The sequence below is a fragment of the Homo sapiens genome, chromosome 13, assembly GCF_000001405.40.
Source record: "Homo sapiens chromosome 13, GRCh38.p14 Primary Assembly".
Taxonomy (NCBI): Eukaryota; Metazoa; Chordata; class Mammalia; order Primates; family Hominidae; genus Homo; species Homo sapiens.
Genome location: NC_000013.11, coordinates 99,651,649 through 99,672,805, shown reverse-complemented (window position 1 = coordinate 99,672,805; position 21,157 = coordinate 99,651,649). Strand labels below are relative to the sequence as shown.

The 21,157-nt window shown below is 43.3% G+C and overlaps 1 protein-coding gene across 10 annotated transcripts in view, besides 6 other annotated features; it reads right to left on the bottom strand.

Annotated features, from left to right (window-relative positions):
- CLYBL (citramalyl-CoA lyase) overlaps positions 1 to 21,157 on the bottom strand; it is a 302,755-nt gene that overhangs the window by 236,639 nt on the left and 44,959 nt on the right. The gene's annotated exons all lie outside the window — the stretch shown is intronic.
- Positions 6,488 to 6,988: an enhancer, noted in NCBI's record as "H3K4me1 hESC enhancer chr13:100318072-100318572 (GRCh37/hg19 assembly coordinates)". NCBI's record gives its function as "activates a minimal SCP1, AML or CMV promoter by ChIP-STARR-seq in primed H9 embryonic stem cells {active_cell/tissue: H9 hESC(primed)}" and the evidence as "EXISTENCE:reporter gene assay evidence [ECO:0000049][PMID:30033119]".
- Positions 10,521 to 11,403: an enhancer, noted in NCBI's record as "OCT4-NANOG hESC enhancer chr13:100313657-100314539 (GRCh37/hg19 assembly coordinates)". NCBI's record gives its function as "activates a minimal SCP1, AML or CMV promoter by ChIP-STARR-seq in primed H9 embryonic stem cells {active_cell/tissue: H9 hESC(primed)}" and the evidence as "EXISTENCE:reporter gene assay evidence [ECO:0000049][PMID:30033119]".
- Positions 13,048 to 13,563: an enhancer, noted in NCBI's record as "OCT4-NANOG-H3K27ac hESC enhancer chr13:100311497-100312012 (GRCh37/hg19 assembly coordinates)". NCBI's record gives its function as "activates a minimal SCP1, AML or CMV promoter by ChIP-STARR-seq in naive and primed H9 embryonic stem cells {active_cell/tissue: H9 hESC(naive and primed)}" and the evidence as "EXISTENCE:reporter gene assay evidence [ECO:0000049][PMID:30033119]".
- Positions 14,444 to 14,493: an enhancer, noted in NCBI's record as "active region_7957". NCBI's record gives its function as "activates an Ori minimal core promoter by ATAC-STARR-seq in GM12878 lymphoblastoid cells {active_cell/tissue: GM12878}" and the evidence as "EXISTENCE:reporter gene assay evidence [ECO:0000049][PMID:35858748]".
- Positions 14,504 to 14,593: an enhancer, noted in NCBI's record as "active region_7956". NCBI's record gives its function as "activates an Ori minimal core promoter by ATAC-STARR-seq in GM12878 lymphoblastoid cells {active_cell/tissue: GM12878}" and the evidence as "EXISTENCE:reporter gene assay evidence [ECO:0000049][PMID:35858748]".
- Positions 16,494 to 17,693: an enhancer, noted in NCBI's record as "BRD4-independent group 4 enhancer chr13:100307367-100308566 (GRCh37/hg19 assembly coordinates)". NCBI's record gives its function as "activates an origin of replication core promoter dependent on BRD2, P300/CBP, MED14 and CDK7 cofactors, and independent of BRD4, by STARR-seq in HCT116 cells {active_cell/tissue: HCT116}" and the evidence as "EXISTENCE:reporter gene assay evidence [ECO:0000049][PMID:35650434]".

Below are 21,157 nucleotides of genomic sequence, written 5' to 3'. Positions count from 1 at the left end.
TAAAATGTTATTGTTGCTGTTTAATATATATTTTTTGAGACAGGGTCTTGCTCTGTTGCCCAGGCTGGAGTGTGGTGGTACAATCACAGCTCACTACAGCCTCAACCTCCTGGGCTCAAGTGATCCTCACACCTCCCAAGAAGCTGGGACTATAGGCACACACCACCACGCCTGGCTAACTTTTTTTTTTTTTTGGTAGAGATGGGGTTTCACCATGTTGCCCAGGCTGGTCTCAAACTCTTGGGCTCAAGCGATCCACTTGCTGAAGCCTCCCAAAGTGCTGGAATTATCGGTGTGAGCCACCACACCCAGCCCTGTATAATATTTATTATAGACCTGAAATACACTAGGTGACAGAGAAAAGAGACTCTCAATTCCATGTCTTGTGGATGTTTAGATATTTATACTTACCCAGTAAAGAAAAACTGATAGGCAGCTAGGCACAGTAGTGCATGCCTGTTGTCTCAGCTACTCTGGAGGCTGAAGTGGGAGGATCACTTGAGCCCAGGAGTTTGTGGTCGCAGTGAGCTATGACTGCAACACTGCACTCTGGCACTCCAGCCTGGGTAACAGAGTGGGACTCTGTCTCAAAAAAAAAAAAAAGAAAAAAAAAAAGAAATTCCCGAAGAAAAGATTCCAGGAGTCACCTAGTCACCTACAGTGTATTTATTCTTCCTTGAGAAGGGCTCTAACAAGAGGGACGACAGCTAATAACAATACAGCTCTGTATAAAGGAACTGTATCATCAACAAAAAGATGTGAGACATACCCATCACTCAAGAATCACCCAGAAGGCCTGTAGTGCCTGCCTCAGAGGTGACACCCAAAAGGAGACGGTGAAGGGTGGAGTGAGGGCGAGGATGTGAGAAGGGGACTGTGTGCTTGGGAGGGAGGTGCACAAGTCAGGGACGTGAGTCCAGGCACAAGGGCAGTCTCTCACACATCCCTTCTCACCTACCAGTTTGAGTCCCTGTCACCTACTAGGAGGACTTTTGCAGTAGCTTTTATTATTTTTTTTTTTTTTTTGAGAAAGAGTCTTGCTGTGTCACCCAAGCTGGAGTACAGTGGCGTGATCTTGGCTCACTGCAACCTCTGCCTCTTAGGTTCAAGTGATTCTCCTGCCTCAGTCTCCCGAGTAGCTGGGATTACAGGCACGCACCATCACACCTGGCTAATTTTTGTATTTTTAGTAGAGGTGAGGTTTCACCATTTTGGCCAGGCCGGTCTCAAACTCCTGACCTCAAGTGATCTGCCCACCTCGGCCTCCCAAAGTGCTGGGGTTACAGGTGTGAGCCATCGTGCCCAGCCTACAGTAGTTTTCTATTCTTAGCTTTTCTGTTTCAGTCTCTCCCTTGCCTTCACCAAGCACTTAAATCTATTTTGTCCATGGCTATAGATCAATCTCCTTAAAGTGCAATCATACCCTCCCCTGATCAAACACTTTCAGTAGCAACTCCCTGCTCAGCTCAAACTCTTTGGCCTGCAGTAGGGAAGACAAACATTATACGAGAAAACAAAAAACAAAAATTGACAGACTGTGATAAATGCCATGAAGGAAAGAAACAGGATGCTGTGAGAGAGAATCATGGCAGGGGGTTGAGGATAAGAGTCCTAAAATAGGATGGTAGGGAAGGCTTTAGGGCCTCAAGAGGACAAGGAGCCAGCTACAGAAAGAATCTGGCAGCAGAACCAGCTAGTGCAACAACCCTGAGGCAGGAACTAGCTCGCTGTATACCGCAGGCACTGAAAGGAGACCGGTGTGTCATAAGGGCAGCGGACAAGGGAGAGAGTGGCATAAGATGTTGCTGGAGAGGTCAGCAGGAGCCAGCAATGCAGGGCTTTGGTGGCCACAGTAAGGAGGAGGGATTGTATTCTAAGTTCAATGGGATGTTTTGAAAGATATGCAGGGAAGTGACATGATCTGATTCTCTGGCTTGCTGTATGAAGAACAGAAGAGGAGCAAGCATAAAGTAAAGACCATGGAAAATATTGAGATGTTTCATGGCCCAGTATTCCCAATGAGCAGAGACCTCCCATGGGTGGAGGGTCAAGCTGAATGGTAGAAAAGGACCACGGAAGGTGTAGCTAAGATCAGGGGGTCAATTTTGCAGTTAAATCGTATTTTTGTTGTTGCTGTTGTTTTGGCCAAAAACAAATTGTAAAACTGAAAAAAGTCAGTAATTGAGGAAACTTTCACAAATATGAAATGTTAAAACATTCTTTTCATTTGGATAGTTGAAAGAAGGGCAGAGCAGAGATTTCTAAATCCTAAAACAGGCCAGTAGATGCCTGTTTTTAGAGCACGTGTCTAGAAACTGCAGGTAAGTTTTGTTTCAGGAAACATAAACAAGTTATGTTTCAGGAAACTGCCACGGGAAATTCCACGTAACATAACTTGGATGGTGAAGAACTTCTTAAATTTAATTTTTACTTTTTTAGAGACAGGGTCTCGCTACTTTGCTCAGGCTGGACCGCAGTGGCTATTCACAGACGCAATCATAGCTCACTATAGCCTCAAACTCCTGGGCTCAAGTGATCCTCCCACCTCAGTCTCCCAAGTAGCTGGGACTATAGGCATGCACCACTGCACCTAGCTCTTTTTTTTTTAAGATGGAGTTTTGCTCTGTCACCCAGGCTGGAGTGCAGTGGCACGATCTTAGCTCACTGCAACCTCCGCCTCCCAGGTTCAAGCAATTCTCATACCTCAGCCTCTTGAGTAGCTGGGACTACAGGTGCATGCCACCATGCCTGGCTAATTTTCATTTTTTTTTTTTTAATAGAGACGGGGTTTCACTATGTTGGCCAGGCTGGTCTCGAACACCTGACTTCAAATGATCTGCCTGCCTCGGCCTTCCAAAATGCTGGGATTACAGGCGTAAGCCATGGCGCCCAGCCTGCACCCAGCTCTTTAAAGTGTCATTTATACACATGGAAATTTCTAATAGGCCCCTTGCTAAAACAATAGAATGAAAAAATATGCCTATAAGGAAACTTAACAGATTGAGTAAGCCCAAACTTGTCTTGCAGTTCTAGGAACCCTGTCACTAATCATGAGATATATGCTGTGTGGGGTGCAGAACACTGTTTGTATCTCAGTTGTGAGTAACAGCTCTTAAAAGCTAAAAATAGGGATCTTCATGGGAAATGAAAAAGAAAATGTACAACATCCATGCAATTGAAGGTAGGCTCTCAGTAAACTAAGAAATCTTTTCAGAGGTAAAGAAAATGAAATAATGATTTGAAACTACCACCCAACTCTCCATTTCCTATTTGGGAAAAGCTAAGGTTCTTTGGAATATCTAACTTTTTCAAGGCTTATGACACCCTCCCCTCCCATCCACCTCTCCCCTCTCTCCAGTTCCTAGAAAAATGACTGCATAATGTGCTTGTGGAATTTTTGCAAATGGCTAGAGAAAGCTCTGGAAGGAAGAAAGGACAAGCTACATGTTCTTCACGTGTCTCCATGCCCCTAATGCCTCACTCCCCATTCAAAGCTAAGGACCTGGCCGGGCGCGGCAGCTCACACCTGTAATCCCAGCACTTTAGGAGGCTGAGGCGGGCAGATCATGAGGTTGAGAGCTCGAGAGCATCCTGGTCAACGTGGTAAAATCCCTTCTATACTAAAAATACAAAAAAATTAGCTGGGCATGGTGGCACATGCCTGTAGTTCCAGCTACTTGGGAAGCTGAGGCAGGAGAATCGCTTGAACCTGGGAGGCAGAGGTTGCAGTGAGCCGAGATCGCGCCACTGCACTCCAGCCTGGTGACAGAGCAAAACTCCATCTCAAAAAAAAAAAAAAGCTGAGGGCCTATAAAGTCACCCCTAGATCTGCCCACACTTCTTGGGCATCTGCCTCCTGCCTTCTCCCCGCTGAACCAGCTTGTCCTGCCCTGGAGCCCCTAGTGAATCTGGCTTCTGCACTCTTCACCTAGATTAACACCTTGATTCAATCATATCACGGCCTTGGAGTGTGATTTTATCCCTTCATCCTATTTTCTGGATTGGCTTCCAGCACCTTGGACCTGGCCAGGACACCCCCAGCTTGGCATCCCAGAAGCCCGGCAGGCTGGGGTTGCTGTGTCATTGTACCATCCTCATGCCCAGGGAGGGGATTTAGACATCAGCAGTGATGAGCGATAGTTCTCATTTTTCTTCTATCTACCAAAATACATTCATCTTGCTCAAATAGCCAATATTCTTTTTTTCTTTTTTTTTTTTTTGAGATGGAGTTTCGCTCTGTCTCCCAGGCTGGAGTGCAGTGGCATAATCTCAGCTCACTGCAACCTCCGCCTCCCAGGTTCAAGTGATTCTCCTGCCTCAGCCTCCCGAGTAGCTGGGATTCACAGGCAACTGCCATCTCACCCAGCTAATTTTCGTATTTTTAATAGAGATGGGGTTTCACCATGTTGGTCAGGCTGGTCTCGAACTCCTGGCCTCAGGTGATCCACCTGCCTTGGCCTCCCAGTGCTGGGATTACAGGCGTGAGCTACCATGCCCGGCCGCCAGTGTTCTATTAAAGATTTTTTTTTTTTAAGACAAGGGCTCACTCTGTCGCCCAGGCTGGAGTGCAGTGGCATGATCTTGGATCACTGCAACCTCTGCCTCCTGGGCTCAAACGATCCTCCCACCCCAGCCTCCCACGTAGCTGGGACTACAGGCATGTGCCACCATGTATGGCTATTTGTTGTATTTTATGTAGAGACAGGGTTTCACCATGTTGCCCAGGCTGTTCTCGAACTTCTGACCTCAATCAATCCTCCCACCTCGGCCTCCTAAAGTGCTGGAATTACAGGTGTGAGCCACCATGCCCAGCCTCTAATGTTCTATTGAAGATGAAGATTTATTTTTGCTCCTCATCTTTTCATACCTAATTACTTGGCAAGCATTAATAAAAAATGATGGGCAAACCTTCATTTCTCAGGTGACCAGAGAATTCTTCAAATGCATCTATCCTTTTGTTCCAAAACAGACCATTTGCCAATTGGAATAGTAGAAAGATTTTTGTTTTTAGAGGGAATCAGGTGAATGTGAAATGAGTTGACTAGTAAAATTTAAGAGCGAATGTTTATTTTGACTACTAGAAATATCTGAGTCAAAAAAGTAGGAGATTTGTTTTTTAGATAATATCAAATGTATTCCATAACTTCATCAAAATGATTTTCAATGCAGGCACCACAAGTTGCTTCCCTTAAAATGTTCAATTGTACTCTGTAAACACCCAAAACTACTAGGAAATTGAGGCCAGTTGACACATTCCCTCTCTGTCTTACTGATTACACAGAATCCTAAACCTGCCACAGAGTTAGATGCAAGTGGTCTCTCCACTCTTCTAGCAATTGTTTATTTTCTAAAAAAAAAAAAAAAAAAAAAAAGCAAGATTCTTTAAGTAGGACTATACTGCAATCCTTTCCATAATGTCCCTATGTGTATGTGGGTGGGGAGGGGGAAACCGTGGCTGTTGCAAGCTTACAGCAGATTTATGATGAAAATGACAAGTTACGAGCTTGATGTTCTTCCACTCTGTTTACAGCATACGTGGCTCCATCCTCAAGGGATGGTTACGTGTGGCATTTCTGTGGAGAATCTGTTGTTATAAGTTCCCACCACATTCTACTAGAGCAGTGACTTCTGACAGTCCCCCAGTCCCCAAGACCCCCAAAGCCCCACATCTTCCAAAAGAACCTCTCAACACAACTTGCATCTCTGCTCACTTTTGGGTCTATGTGAAAGTCATAGATCCTTAATTTAGGAGGAAAACCTCTCTAAAGCAGACCTCTAACGTGTCTTCAGTGTGTAGACACTCAGGTGGGCACAAGACATTTGGACCCGTCTTCTATGCAGGGTGAGAGGCATCCACTGCTTTCCACAAGACCCCCAAGTATAGGCAGCATCACGTGATCCCCAGAAAAACTAGCACAGAGCAGCCCAAATACCACCAGGAACATCTTTAAAGACAGCAGGGCATTTTTACTTTTGTTAACATAGGTGGGTTTGTCCATCTCTGGTGGCTTTTTGGGACAGTAGAAATTTTCACATTAATACTGTAAATTCTGTACCATATTTTGACACCTGCTACATCTGATTCAAATGCGGGAAAAAATACCATGTGTGCATAATGAAAAATCATTCATTTTTCCCTTTCTTACCCCAGCAGGAATAGAAAGCAATTCCAAGCCACTCTGCAAATGTATCCAAGGTTAGAGATTCGGGAGCTGGCCAACATCTTACACCCCAAATGACTGAAGCATTTCAGTAGGCTGACTGGCTCGAAATAACAATTTAAGAAAGGGGGGAAAAAACCTACAGGGAAAAAAACCCCATGAGATTTGTGAGAGTTGTGGTGCAGAACAGGTTCTTTCCAGAGCCATCCCAGAGGCTTATCACATTGGAGCCCATCTTGGGCTCTGCTCCTGGGGCACACCCACCGAGTCATCCCCATGCAGTGAAGGTCAGGCTGCCTAAAGCCACTCAGGTGTGGTCACAGTCAGCACTTGGCCCCTTACTGAGATCTAAGCTTCTTGGCAGGGGCTGTACTGTCTCAGCGATGTCAGTGTTCACCTCCACCTCCCTGCACCACGCCCTCCCCATCCATCCCCTCTTCCCTTAACCCCCGTCACTACCACTCTTCACGTGCACTTCTGGGCCTTGTTGCCTCAAAAATATTCCAAAGCCCAAGGACCACCAGCCCTTCTTCCCCAGGTTCCTTCTAGCAAGTAGTCCTGTGTCCAAGAGGCCTCATCATTCTTCTTACTCTCCCTGAGCTCCTCCAAGTGAAACCCTCAGTAAAGCCCTCCCCAGACATATCTTGGAAAAGATTAATCTCTCAGATTAACTGAATGAGCTCAAATATAAAAATATTTTTAAAAAACAGTAGGGTCGTTAAAGAGTGACAGATTTAAGCGCCATCTGGGCTCGCTGGTCAGGGTGGCGCGAATTCCATCAAACGGCTGAACGGTGCACGATCTGAGAATCCCATCTGTTTTATCTAACATGAATCAGTCCAACAGTTTGACCATTTTGACGTTAGAGTTGTTTAAAGAAAACCATGGACATATAATACCTCCTCTAAACTTCTAGAATGCAAAATGTATATTTGATTATCACAAAGACAGAAATTAAGCTCGATTCGATTCTCAGAGTGTCTCCAGTGAAATTCCAAATAGACTGCTTTTCATGAAATGATTATTTCCCCAGAGGAGTTTTGGGTTTTTTTTTTTAACCTTTGGGACCATATGTGGAGACTTTTCTTAGGGTTACTGTGTAAAAGTTTAATAATTTTTTTCACTAAAAACTATATTCATAAGATTTTGGATCTTGCAAAATAGGAAAATTTGTTTTCTTTATATTAATTCTTCCTCCTCTGCTGCTGCCTCAACCAAAGTATTTTTATGAAAATAATATGAAACTATTACAAAAAATATTCAAGAATATCACTTAGACAATTTTAATTATTAAGAAATTTTTTTTTTAAGCAAGTAAGGTCTTTTCCTAGTTTTTATAAATTGCTTTTAACCTTTAGCACTTTGGACTGCTTCCCTGTCTTGCTGTGCTATACTAATTCTTAGAAACACTAATCAGATTTTCCTGTGCCCAATAATACAGTTCTGTTTCTGAATGTCGGCAGTGAATTGCCCCAAAACAAATACTTATGCCACTTAATCTTTAACAAGTGGGAGAAAAAATTATTTTTAAATAAAAATATATATAACAAATATATTTTTAAATATATTTTGGCCATTTTGGGATTTTTAGAAGAAAAAAAATCATATTTTAACCAAACCACTTTTTAATTGAAAAACATTCTTCTGCTATAATATTGTGATTATAATTTGTCTTAAAAATTAAAAGGAAGATGTTATTTTCCTATTTTATTATTATGCTATAATTATGGGGCATATTATGGTATTTTATAAACATGAAAACTAAGCAATCATAAAAACAAGATTCACCTAATTGTGTACTAAAAAAGGACTTGCACATGATCAGATGATTTTATTTTCCCGGTTTTTTTGGTCATATTTTATAGAGATCATGTGGAATCAAAACAGCTTCTTCGTTCCAAATTTGTGTTGTGTTTTCTAGCCATTTTACATACCAAATCTATTTCTTAAAATGATTTTCTGGCAATACAAAGCTGGCACTACGTCGCACGTTATGAATGTGTGCATTTATTGTTTCTTCACCTACAAAACCAGGACAATAATATCTTCCTGCAGAACTCATTCAAAGATTATATGTAATAGTGTTTATAAAAGTACATGGAAATTATAAAGTACTACGCAAAGGTATCTTTAGTAATCATAATAGCAATTTAATATTTTTATAGAGCAAAAACTACTGAAAAAATAAAACATCCATTCTCCACATCTCCCCTTGTGATTAAATAGAGAAGCATGTTTATATGAATTATTTCTAAAGCAGCATTTTGCAACTGGCTTGAAAGTATTTGCTTCAGGGAATTACAAAGATTTGAAAACAAAATTATCTCTACATTTCACAAATTTGAAAATGTAAAAGCAAACAAATTGTCAGAACTTTTTTTGTAACCTTTATTTTCCTTAAAGTTGCTGTAGCCAGTTCAGAATACTAAGAACACAGGAAAACTTTTGTCCAAGGGGATTGGTCCCAGAGCCGAAGAGACATCAAGCTCCACATCTATGACCACTGATTTATCTTGGTAAATGTCAGCGGTCAAGAGTTATAATCCATTTAAGTCACAGACTAAAGCAAATGCTGGAACCACTGACTTTTTCTCTTTTTCCTTTAAGTTTATAAAATAATCACAAAAAGAGAGAAAGAACTCTTGAAAGATAAATGCTATTTACAAAGTTCTTAAGGAGAAACATTGTACTGATTGTTAAAGTTTCATTAAATTTGCAGTTTTATCTCTGTCTGCATCACGTGAAACAAAATAAATGGTTCTAGCATAAGGCTCCTGGTCTATTTTCCCCTCTTTCCCTTTGGTAGCCAGGCCCGTAATAAGCTCCAGGAGAGCAGGAGTAAAACGGGGTCCCTAGGGGCCCAGATTTAGTGAGGACGCAGCAGCTCAGGTTGTAGGTTGTCCCTGTGAGATGCCAGCTGGCTTCCGCACAAAGGTGACAAGCTCTCTTTGTTGCTAATCCCTTTGGTTTTCTTAGTGTCCCCAAGTCATGCAGACACATACTGGACACTTTCATCAGGTAGACACACAGTATCGATGCTTGGTCTCGACAGGCAGGCAGCATGGTCCCCACAAACCAAGGCATGTCCCGAACTCCACAGCCTGGAGTGCTCATTCAGCGGGCACACCAAAAAAGGGCTTGGTGACACTTTCTGATAAGATGGTTCTGCTGACCAGCAGTGGAATGTGAGGGCACACTAGACATGGGATGGGGATGGGCAGCAATGGGTGCTGTGGGTGAAAGGTACCAAGCAGTTACTGCTCAGGGAGAACTACTGCAGAGACATTCTTCTTCAGCCACGTAAAGTGGCCCTATTCAAGCAGCACAACTCAAGGATGCCAACTGGAAAACATTATTTATACCCACACATGGGGCTAGTATCAAACGGCGCCCTGTTTGCTCCAGTTTCAGACACTGTTCAATCAATGGATGCCTATCTTTAGGGTTTATTCAGTAGAAGAAAGTATTCCCCTCGGGGTTTACCTGAGCAGCTCACTACGAGCTAAGAGAAGTGCTGAGTTTACACTGCTCCGTTTTCATCACAGCATATTCCTTGGCAAATGATCATATTTCAAAGCCACAATTCATTAACTGCATCTCATTCCCCGTATTTGGCTACATTTGAGTAATTTTATTTAACCTTGGCTTGAAGAACATATTTAGTGTCCTGCATCTAGCCTGAGATGTTTGTTCTTTGGACCAGCAGTGACCATCTCGGACCTCAGCACTGTCTGAAGTCCTTGAACAGTGGCCGGTTGCAAAGTAAATATAAGCAACAAACCACATTACAAGGGAGAAGAATGCTGATAAGGGAACAAGGAAAGTGCTCAAGCAATCTAAAAAATACTTAATTCTTAACAATGTCTCAGTATCCCTTACCAAAACTGGTGTAATGCTCAGTGAGAATGGGTAACTATTTTACAAATATGCCACACTTTATAAATTATTAAATTGGACAGTAGCAAAGGAAAAGTGGTATCCATTTGTCAGGCTATCCCATAAATCTGTACTTTAAAATGTGACAATTTGTCAAATTTGTTACTAGTAATACTAATAAAAAAAAAGGGTTCCTCTAAAAATATTTGTTTCTGACTCACTATAATTACTGCCTGACCAAAAAAAAAAAAAAAAAAAGTTTTAAAGATTTGGAATACACAAATCTATTTTTTAAAGCATAAATTCAACGAAATAGAACCAATAGTCTAACATCAGTAACTAATCTGATTCTCTATGAAAGTAACTACAGGAAAGAGATACTAGAAGAGATTTAGAATCTATTTTGGCTCAAGAGAATCAATGAAATTCTACTCCTTTAAAAAATTATTAATAGCTTGTGTCAGATTTTTAAAAAATAATTCTGAGTGTTAACATCTACTCAAGTTACTCAAAATCACACGGCACAATTAAATCTGTGCTGAGAGGGATCTTAAATCCAAAACTTTTAAAACTTCTGGGGCTTTTACTAAAAGCATCACAAAGTAAACGACAACCAAAGTAAACCTCTTTAAAGGGACAAAATAGCAAGGAAAGGTCAGGGAGCCAAGGGGGTCAACAAAGTCCTTCTTCCAATTTGGGGTCATTCTTCCCTCCAGCACTGATTGGTCTCCCAATAAATTCCACATTAGCTCCTCCCTTCAGCTGCGGCAGAAACACTTGAACTGCCTTCTCTCTTCACAAAAGTTTAGTTTGCTGATTGGGCCTGAAACAAAGGGATGACAGCAGGGGCACAATTTATAAGGGGGCAGGGGAGGCTGACAGGCTATTGTGCTCTGGAGGCATCCACAAGCTGTTAATTCTATTTTAACATCGTTAATAAGACTGTTAACACATCAGACTTTGTTTAGAGACCTTGAAAACATCAACAAACTATCAAATGACCCACCTGAAATAAAATAGCAACCACTTTGGAAGCATCAAAATCATACTTTAAAAAAAATCCTTAAAACAGTAAGACTAAAGAAAGGAAAAAGGAAATCTATTTCCGTAACAAAGACCCCAAATTCTTATGTTTAATATACTTGGAGCATCCTTATTATTACTCTGATTATATCATCTTCAACCTATGGGTTTTCAAAATAAAAAAGTTATATTAAAATGGAATCACTTCCATGTGCATATGCAAAAAGGGATAAAAAAATAAATATACAGGTTTAAAAAGACATTTAGAGTGAATAACTCGTCTGACAGAATAACAACAGTTAATTTTGCAACAGAATAGAAAAATGTTTTGATCTCAGTTTTTCAAGAAGTAGGAAAACAATCTGTTACAAAAAAGAAGCTGTTTGATTGTACCCTCATGTCTAACTAAAAAAACTAGAGTAACTACAGTAAGAGTAAAAAGTTCTAATTCATGGTTTAAGGGAATTACAATTTTCTGGAAATTCTTCTACTTTTTTTTCTCTTTTACTTTGCTTTGCTTTAGGGATTAAGACTATTCAAAGTAAAGAGTATTATGCTTAAAATTAAGGAGACCAAATAACTTGGTAATCAACATTTAACAATCAATATTGTTAAAGAAGAAATTATTTTGTTTGAATTTTTCGGTGTAAATGTGTTTTGTCAAAAATTTTTTTCAATTAAAATAGCATATTTTTAATGGGATGGTCTACTAAAATCACTAAAATTGACACTTAACTATTTTTTCATTTAAAGTGAAAAACCCAAAATATATTGCAAGAAATTTGTAGCAACATTTTTTAAAAACAATTTTTTTGGACACTGCATCTGAAATCTAATGATGGAAAAAATCGGAAGCATTCTAGATGTGACTTCAAGTACTGATTTTTCAACACACTGCAACACACATTTCCACATGTTAATTTTAAATATCCTTGCCTGTGATTGAAAGAAACAATTATTCAATACTCTTACAAGTACTGGTAAGGAAAATTTTAAAACCATGAGAAATTACAATAGAATCAAATTATGTAGACGGGATACATAGCTTTTAGAACAGAGCAAAGAATTCTAGGGAATATTTAAATATGTTGAGTCCTTTGAGTGTGGCTGTTTGTTGGTGGCCATTGGTGGGTTAGAATTGGGGGAGTTAGTGAATCAAAGACTAGAGAGACTATTCGCAAACACAGACGTTAATATGAGAACACAGGAGTATAAACTTAATGGGTAGATGCAGGGGCAACTCTAAATGCATCCCTGCATTGAACACAATACAGAGATTGTGTTCTCAACAGGTCAAAGGACCAATGAGCAAACGCTGGTACAAGGCTTGGGGACTTGGGGCAACAGAGTCCATGAAAGCATCAATCACCACACGTTTTTAAAAGTGGAAACCGAGGCAGTTACCCTGAAGGATGACCGACAGAGGAATAATATTTGGCTACCACTGTTCAATTGCCTTTCCCAAACACAATGCTTTGCTTGTTTCTCCGGCTTCCTGCAATCTTTCATGTTTTAGATACACACATTTCAATCCAAGTATTTCAGTTGCCATAACAACTTCATAAATTTGTTCTCAGATGTCCTTTTTAATCACATCATTTAAAACAAGCTGGATGTGTCGCTGGAGTGCCTCAATTTATTCCATTCGCACCTAGCTCCTAAGGAGTCTGGTATTTGTTTCTTTTTCTCTAAGAAGCTCAAACACCTGAAAATAACATCGCTATCTCCTCTCTGTCTCCACAGGCAAGGGAAGTTTTTTTAAAAATGCGTGTGTGGCCTTATTATTAAGTTTTTTAAATCCAGGTGATATTATGCCCAGAAATCGCCCCCTGGTTCACAGAAGAGAGACTGCTAACGCCACCCAGGTCTGTACAGGAGGCCCCTGCCCAGAGAATGCTGCTTTATTTCCACATATCAATTATTTATGCCGCCAAACAGGTTTTTGATAGAATCCTAGTGGTTTTAATTGGCTTCTGGTGACTATTACTATATAATACCTTTAAAATATCATCTACCTTATGATGGGAAAATAAAACTATGCCAATATGTAAGTTTCAACGGCATGCATTAATTTTTAAACTACTCCCGGATGTTTTAGGATTTCCTGCCAATAAAGAATAGGGCATAGTATTCCTGGCATCATTAAATAAATGACTTTTGCCAACATCAACAAGCAAACAATAGAAAACAGGACTCCACCAACAAATGAAAAGGGGGTGTCAAAAAATTCAAGCCTGGCTTTTTGCATATGTAGTGAAACTGAAGGCACTTCCCCAGCAAGTATTGAAATGCACAGATAAGAACACAAAAGGCCTTGAAGTGGTTTGAAGGGTCGCAATTTGCTATTAAACACAGCAGATGGAAACCTGTGAAAGCCCACTTAACGGAACTTTTGAATGCTCCTGTGTGAAATCAAGAGTCATGCACAAGTTAGGGCAATCACTGATTCTACAGTTTTTTAAATTGCACTCTCAGTTTGTTAGAGGAGAAATACACACACACACGCATATATATACATATATATATATACACACACACACACATAGCTTAGAGGATGATTTAGAAGAGGAATACTAATCCCCTCTCTGTCAGAAATTAAAATGCAAGGGTGAATAGCATGCAACTAAGTACCAGCAAAGAGTAAATATTGGTTATGTTTAGGAAAGAGCATAAAAACAGATGTGATATAAAGTTAGACCTTTCACTTCAAAAAATACTAAGCAACTAGTTCTTTGCCCCTGGGGGAAAAATCTCTTTTAATTATGTAAAAAGTGAAGAGACGGTAGTAGGATTCTTTACCTTTGAATACTAAATTAGGAAACAGCAGCATCAAAGGCAGGCTTGATCTGTTTTGCCTGAAAAATTAATAGGCTTTACAAGTCCTTTGCAATGGAGTCTAGGATTGCATAAAAAAAGAGGCTCTGGTGACACCAACAGTCCCAGGAACAAAATGCAGCTGTGGAGGCGGGTTGGGGGTTGGGAGAGGGTTTTTGTTGTTTGGTTTTGGGGGATTTTTTTTACTTTTCTTTAATCAAAATGGATAAACCCGGCTGCCGAAACTCCGCAGAGAACCTGCTCTGCCCGAGGCTTCCTCCCCACCCCACCTCCTTGTTCCTGTCCACACCCCGCCCCGCTGCCTGTGGCCGAGGCCTGTCGCCGGGCTGGAGGGCCTAGCTACCCCAACTCCGCGGTTTCAAAGCGCAGAGAGTTGAAAGGAGGGGAGGCCGGCGTGGGGGAGAGGGACACAGGAGGAAAGGCCTCAGTCAGAGTCCCCGGCAGCCTCGGGGTTTCGCGATGGTTCCCTCCTGGTCCCTCCTGGAAGTGGGAGGCGGACCCTGCGCTTTGCAGCAGAAACTTTCTGGGAGCCTGGAAGACTTGTCACCCAGTCCGCGGTCTCTCCAGCAGTGGGAGGAGCGCTGAAGGTGGTGATTACTATCGACAAACCTAAAATTCTTTCTCTTGAGAGCTCCCACACTATTCACCCCGAGTGGGCCTGCGGATGAAGCTGCTGGTGCCAAAAAGGGTAGGAGGGGGCGCCATGGCAGTCCCCTGCCGGCGGCCCCTTATGAAACCGGGCCGGTTGCTCTGCAGAGCGCACGCAGGCGGCCTTCTGCTCGCACATCGAACTGGCATCCTCGTCTTTTGTCCATGACGTCCCTGTGCCCCACTGCTGCAGCCGAGAGGGACCGCGGCACCAGCGGGCAGGGAGGGCTGGCGCGCCCCGCCAGGTCAATAGCAGGAAACTCCGAAGGCAGGGCGAGGAAGGCACGGGCTTGGGTTCTGCCCCGGACTGCGAGGAAACATGGAGACTCAGGGCGAGCAGCTCCTAAGGAAGCCGACTTGGCTTCTGTTCCTGGGAAAAGCGGATCAAGAAACTCGCTGAAGACCACTATTTACAGATGAGCCACAGCAGAGCTGCTTAATTCACTCAATAACAAACCTTAATTGCTCAAAACAAAGCAGCTAAGTCTCTTTAGAGTGCTTCAAAGGCCCTTCACATTGTAACTTGCAGTATAAAATGTATGCAATATTTCCAAAAAAGAAAAAAAATTCAGAATCAAGGATAAAGTTAGAACTTTACCTTAATCTTCTTTTAAAGAGTTTTTTTCCCCATCTCCCCCTCTAATTAGGTCAAAATTTAGATGTTATTATGATCTAACTACAATCTGTTTATTTTACTGCCTTTTTAAAAGAAAAGAGACATTTGTGCCTTAATCCTAAAAAGCCCCAAATCTGAATTTAAAAGAATAACATTATTGGACAATTATATGGAAAGTCAAGAAAGATTTTTGAAAGAACTATCAAAAGACAATATTTATATAGAATTCAAGCATTAGCGGTGAGCCTGACACAGCAAAACCATTGTATTTTCCACTAGTTTTGTTTTGCTCTATACAGCTGTGTTTTCACAGATGCAAAGCCATGTGTCTCCACCAAAAGGTTTAGCCCTCCCTTCAGATGTGAATGCGGATCAAAGGTTCAAACGCAGAAATACAAGATCCTTTTCCCTTTGGAACATGTTTTTATTTTTCTGCAGTGGCTGCAAACCAGAATTTCCATCTGTTGTCCTTCTGCAGTATACAGGTTAACCTTAACAGTGGGGCTCGGAGCACTGTTATCTCAGCTAAGAAGTGCACAGATGAAGCACGTCTGCATGTACCATCAGAGCAGCTCCCCAAGATGTCCACGCAGCTAAGACAGAATTGAACCAGGCAGGAGCAGAATCCATTTTAGTTGACATATAGAAATTAATTTTCATTTCTGTGCAACATCAGAACGGATGATGAATTTAAGATGGGGTTTTGCTTTCACACCACATGCACCTTGGTAAAGATAACATCAACCATGATTTCCTGTCTGTCCCTCCTCCTTCCTAGAGCCAGCAGTATGCAATAAGACATTTTGCATTTGAATCTCAGCTTGCTGAAAATTCTCTAACAACAGAAAATGATTTGATAAAACAACTCATTAATTTTAAGTATCTTACAATTTACCAACCCATAATTTTGAATGGAAATTTTAAAAAAATTTGTTACCTATTAATCCTTTTAATAACTCATCCTCTCAATTTCCATTTCTTTATCAAACATACCCTCAGAGTGACTGAGAGAGAAACAGGTTTCTCTATTACCTACTCTAAACATGGATTTACTGCCATGTAAACATTGGCTTAGGAGAACAGTAAAAATGCGGCAATGCAGCTAACAAGGTGGGAGGCTTTGAAGGTATTTCTGCCAGGTTTTTAAGGTCACTAAATGTTAAGAGAAAAATGAACTAGAGAGGAACATATATATATACCTATCTGTAGACGATCAAGAGAGGTTAGAGGGACAAATGGCGGGATGACAGATACAAAGCTTTGGCTAGTTCATGGGGAGATTTTACAGAAGCCCAAAGTGGAAAGTGCCGTGGACCCGACTGAACACCAATGTGTGAGTGCCATCTAGTGGTCTGCCTAGAACTGCACCCTGGTCTACTCCCTGACAAACACGCCACCCTAAGGTCTGGGGGTTCTCCACCCCATTTCTCCACCGCATCCTGGCTCATTCTATCACTCCCAACCCTTCTATCCGATTACTGTACCTTTTCTGCTCTAATTACAAATAAACTAAAAAGCCAAAAAGCCTCAGAAAACAAAGCAGGAAGAGTGATAATCTCAAAGGTGGGGGTGGGTCTGGAAAAAAGGAAAGTGGCCTCACAGGTCTCCCCGCGAGACTGTCACAGAGCTGTGCAGGAAGGCTTAAAAGGGCTGGCTCCAAGACAATAAGGAATCGTCTTGACCGCACCTGCGAACCAGACTAAATGAAAAGTGCGCCCTGCCGCCTACACATGCCCTCTCTGTCCTCAGTATGTTAACCTTTCTGGGGGGAAATAATTAACTCGATGACTGGGCAATGGTTCACTCATCAATATCTCTTCCTAGGTGCTCTGTAAAGAGTCAAGTCCAATGTGACGTAGGTGGAGCTAGTGTTCATGATGTCAGGCCATCCCTGCCATCTGACTCACGGGCACCCAGACAGGGCCACGTCATCAGCTGACACCAGGTCCCACAAGCAAGGCCCACACAGCTTCCCAGGCTTCAAATACTTGCTCTGATTGTCAGCTTCATGGCAGATCAAGCCACCAATGTGTTATTTAGTGGGATGAAAGAGGACGCCACCCCAGGCTCTGCCAAGCACACCCCCTAGTAGCGCCCCTCCAGCCACCAAGGTGGCAACACAGCCTGGGAGAAAGGCCAGAGCCCACTGACTTGCATTTCTGTCCCAGCAACTAGAGGTTGCTGAGCTGTCTTCATTCCATGAGTCACACCTTTGCATGTGGGCACGTGAAAGAGCATACATCATCTTGCCAGTAACGAAATGCAACACCAGGCCAGGCGCAGTGGCTCACGCCTATAATCCCAGCACTTTGGGAGGCCGAGGCAGACAGATCATCTGAGGTCAGGAGTTCAAGACCAGCCTGGCCAACATGGTAAAACCCCGTCTCTACTAAAAATACAAAAATTAGCCGGGCATGATGGCAGGTGCCTGTAATCCCAGCTACTTGGGAGGTTGAGGCAGGAGAATCACTTGAACCTAGGAAGCAGAGATTGCAGTGAGCCGAGATCACGCCACTGCACTCCACCCTGGATGACACAGCAAGACTCCGTCTAAAAAAAAAAAAAAGAAAGAAATGCAACACCATAGTGCTGGGCCATCACTCCCATGGGTTCTTAGGCCTGGTGGGGAAGGGGGTTCTTCTTCTGATAGATCAGCCACTGCACAGAAAGAATGGACTTCGGAGCGCGATCTCGGCTCACTGCAACCTCTGCCTCCCGGGTTCAAGCAATTCTCCTGCCTCAGCCTCCCTAGTAGCTGGGACTACAGGCGCCCGCCACCATGCCCAGCTAATTTTTTGTATTTTTAGTAGAGACAGGGTTTCACCGTGTTAGCCAGGATGGTCTAGATCTCCTGACCTCGTGATCAGCCCGCCTCAGCCTCCCAGAGTGTTGGGATTACAGGCGTGAGCCACGGCATCCGGCCTGACATTTTAGTTTTGTTAAAATGCTACTGAATCTAAAGACTGTGACTTACCTTTCATCTGGCACATTACTGGCTTTGAGGTTGGAGGCTATGTGCTCTGCCCACCTTCATTTTCACCCAATACCCTGTACACAACAATCAAGTAATATGTAGATGATGGGATTGCTTTGGAGACCTTGATAGTGAGTGAAACTATGGTGAAATGGAAGCAGCATAATATGCTGGGAAAGAGAAGACTTGGGAGAAGAAGATTTGGGTTGGAGCAGCCCACCCTACCGCACTGGGGCTTGGGATGAGGGTACGGAGGAGGACACGAGCCCCAGCCAGCCCCTCCTCTTTGCCCCATATGTGTGGGACATGCCAGCCTGCACATCCAAGCTCCTGGCCTCACTCCCCACTGCCAGCCCAGCCTCAGCTACCCCTCAGGTCTGGGGTGCAAATGCTGCTACTCCACTCTCTAGGATGGACCCAGGGAGAGGTCCATGGATGCCCAGCTAAGGAAAACATTTCCCAGCCTCTCCTGCATCTGAGTGTATTCATGGGTCAAAGTTCTGATTGATGGGATGTGGTCAGGGTGAGCAGAAATATAGTGTCCCCATAAAGGAAGGCATGTGTCCCCCTACCCCACGTGGTGGGAGCAAACCAAGCAGCCGCCTTGGGGAAGATGTGTGCCATGTGCTGAGGTTGGCAGAACCATAGCTAAAGGAGCCTGAGACCTCACTGAGCCATCGTTATCAGCCCTGCACCACCTAACCATGTTTCAAGTGAGGGGGGAAGAAATTATCCTTGATAAAGTCATTGTATTTGAAGATCTTTTGGCCATAACACCCAAATCTGTATCCTCACTTATATCCTAGTTATGGATGAGTTGAATGAAAATGGGCATGTCCAGCCCATCATACCCAGCATATCACCCTTGAATCAATTGAAATTTGAGCAGGAGAAGGAACAAGTGAACCAAAACCACACTGTCAGCGTCCTGGGAGATCTGGACAATTATGAGACTCAAAAGTGGAGGAGAAGGTTAATAACTGGCCAGGATGAAAAAAAAAGAAAAAGCTAGAGAACAAATGAGAAGCCAAGAAAAGGAGAAAAAAGTCCCAGTAGCTTCTCATGTGGTGTGTCTGAATTTCCAAACAGATGCACGTAATTAAGTAGGTTTATTTAAACATGAAAGATCACTATTTCTTTGGATCATCATAAGGCTGGTGAACAAGCACCATGATCTTTGGATGAGTAGAGGGAGGCAGAGACCCCTGCCAGGAGTTACAGGTGAGTTGCTAGGAATGGAGGTCTGGAACCTAAGTGTGCTGGGTGCTCCCCCTTATATACAGGACTTTTTTTTTTTTGGCCGGTCCTCCTTGTCCCCAGGCTAACAGCCTCATGACACAGATTCCTTAGCAGTGGCCTGCTGCTTATTCCTGCTCTTTAAAAAATAGTACATCCATCATGATACTCCCATTCTGAAACATCCACAGGTGCTCCTAGTGCTTAGAAAACAACATCTGAAGTCTTTGCCTAGAATTCAAGGCTGTCTACAACTGGACCCAAACACCCTTCCAACCTCACTCTCCACCACTCCCCTCTACAAACCCTTGCCCTTCAGATTGGCTTGTCTTTTCCCAACAAACAGTATACATTCCTGCCTCCTGTGATTTTCCTCAGGTAGCCCCACCTCCCCCAGGGCCATGCCCTGCTACCACACACGTGCAAAGCCCACTTGTCGTCATGGGAGTGTTATTTACCGCCACCAGCTCATCTGCTTTTAGGGTGTGTCTCCCCAGCTCATGACTGCAACTCTTCCCAACTTTGTGTCAGTCATACAAGGTGGCCAGCACAGCCCTTCCACTTGGGAGAAGGGCATCCATTGTTTTGATTTGATTGATTCTTAAGAAGCAATAAGCTTCAGTAGCATCCTCACCTCCGACACCCAGGCGAGAGCCTGCCTGTTATGTGGAGGCCTCTGAGTGGCTTCTCCCTGAGTATGGAGGTGAAAGAGGCCACGACACCACTTGCCATTTGGGTAGCATTGCTGGAACATTCGGGACCCTTTCGCACCTCATCCATCCATGGCTACTCTGGATCCTGCACCCACAGGTCCTACTTTTGGCAAATCAATGCTGGCTAGCAGGGGCTATAGTGTTATCCCTTCCCAGGATATCTGCTTTTTATTTTTTTAATTGAGATAGGGTCTCACTATATTGCCCAGGCTGGTCTCAAACTCCTGAGTGCAAGTGATCCACCCGCTTCAGCCTCCCAAAGTGCTGGGATTACAGGTGTGAGCCATGTCTGGCCAATATCTGTATTTTAATGGACAACTTCCCTGCTTGCTCAGAACACTTGGCAAATCACACCAGACAGGCCAGTTGGGGCACTGGAGCACTGGAAATGGAAGGTTTAGTCCTGTGGTGAACAGTCACTGGCTGTTGACTATCCCAAAACACACTTCACCCCCTGAGGAACTTGCCTCATCCTACCCACAGCTGACAGTGTGCTGGGATTATCATCAAGGAGCCCAGCTCTCCCAGAGCCAAAGGGTGGGCCCTATTAGCCCAGTTGGACACTCCCTCCCTGGAGCCTGCATCCTGAGCAGAGTTACAGACTGAGCACCCTGGCAGCACACTGTTCTCGTGGCTGAGCAGGGACACAATGGAGAAGGATTCATGTCGGCATGCCTACAGTTGCTTTCCACCGACGGTGTGAATGTGTCCATATCCTTCCAGGAAAACCCCCTCTTGCCAAAGCCAGATGTGGTGTCTGTTGCTTACAACCAAGAATCTTTTTTTCCCCCCAAGATGGAGTCTTGCTTTGTCGCCCAGGCTGGAGTGCAATGGCATGATCTCGGCTCACTGCAACCTCTGCCTCCCGAGTTCAAGCAATTCTCCTGCCTCAGCCTCCCAAGTAGCTGGGATTACAGGCACGTGCCACCAGGCCTGGCTAATTTTTTTGTATTTTTAGTAGAGACGGGGTTTCACCATGTTGGCCAGGCTGGTCTCAAACTCCTGACCTCATGATCCACCCACCTCTCCCTCCCAAAGTGTTGGGATTACAGGCGTGAGCCACTGCACCTGGCCA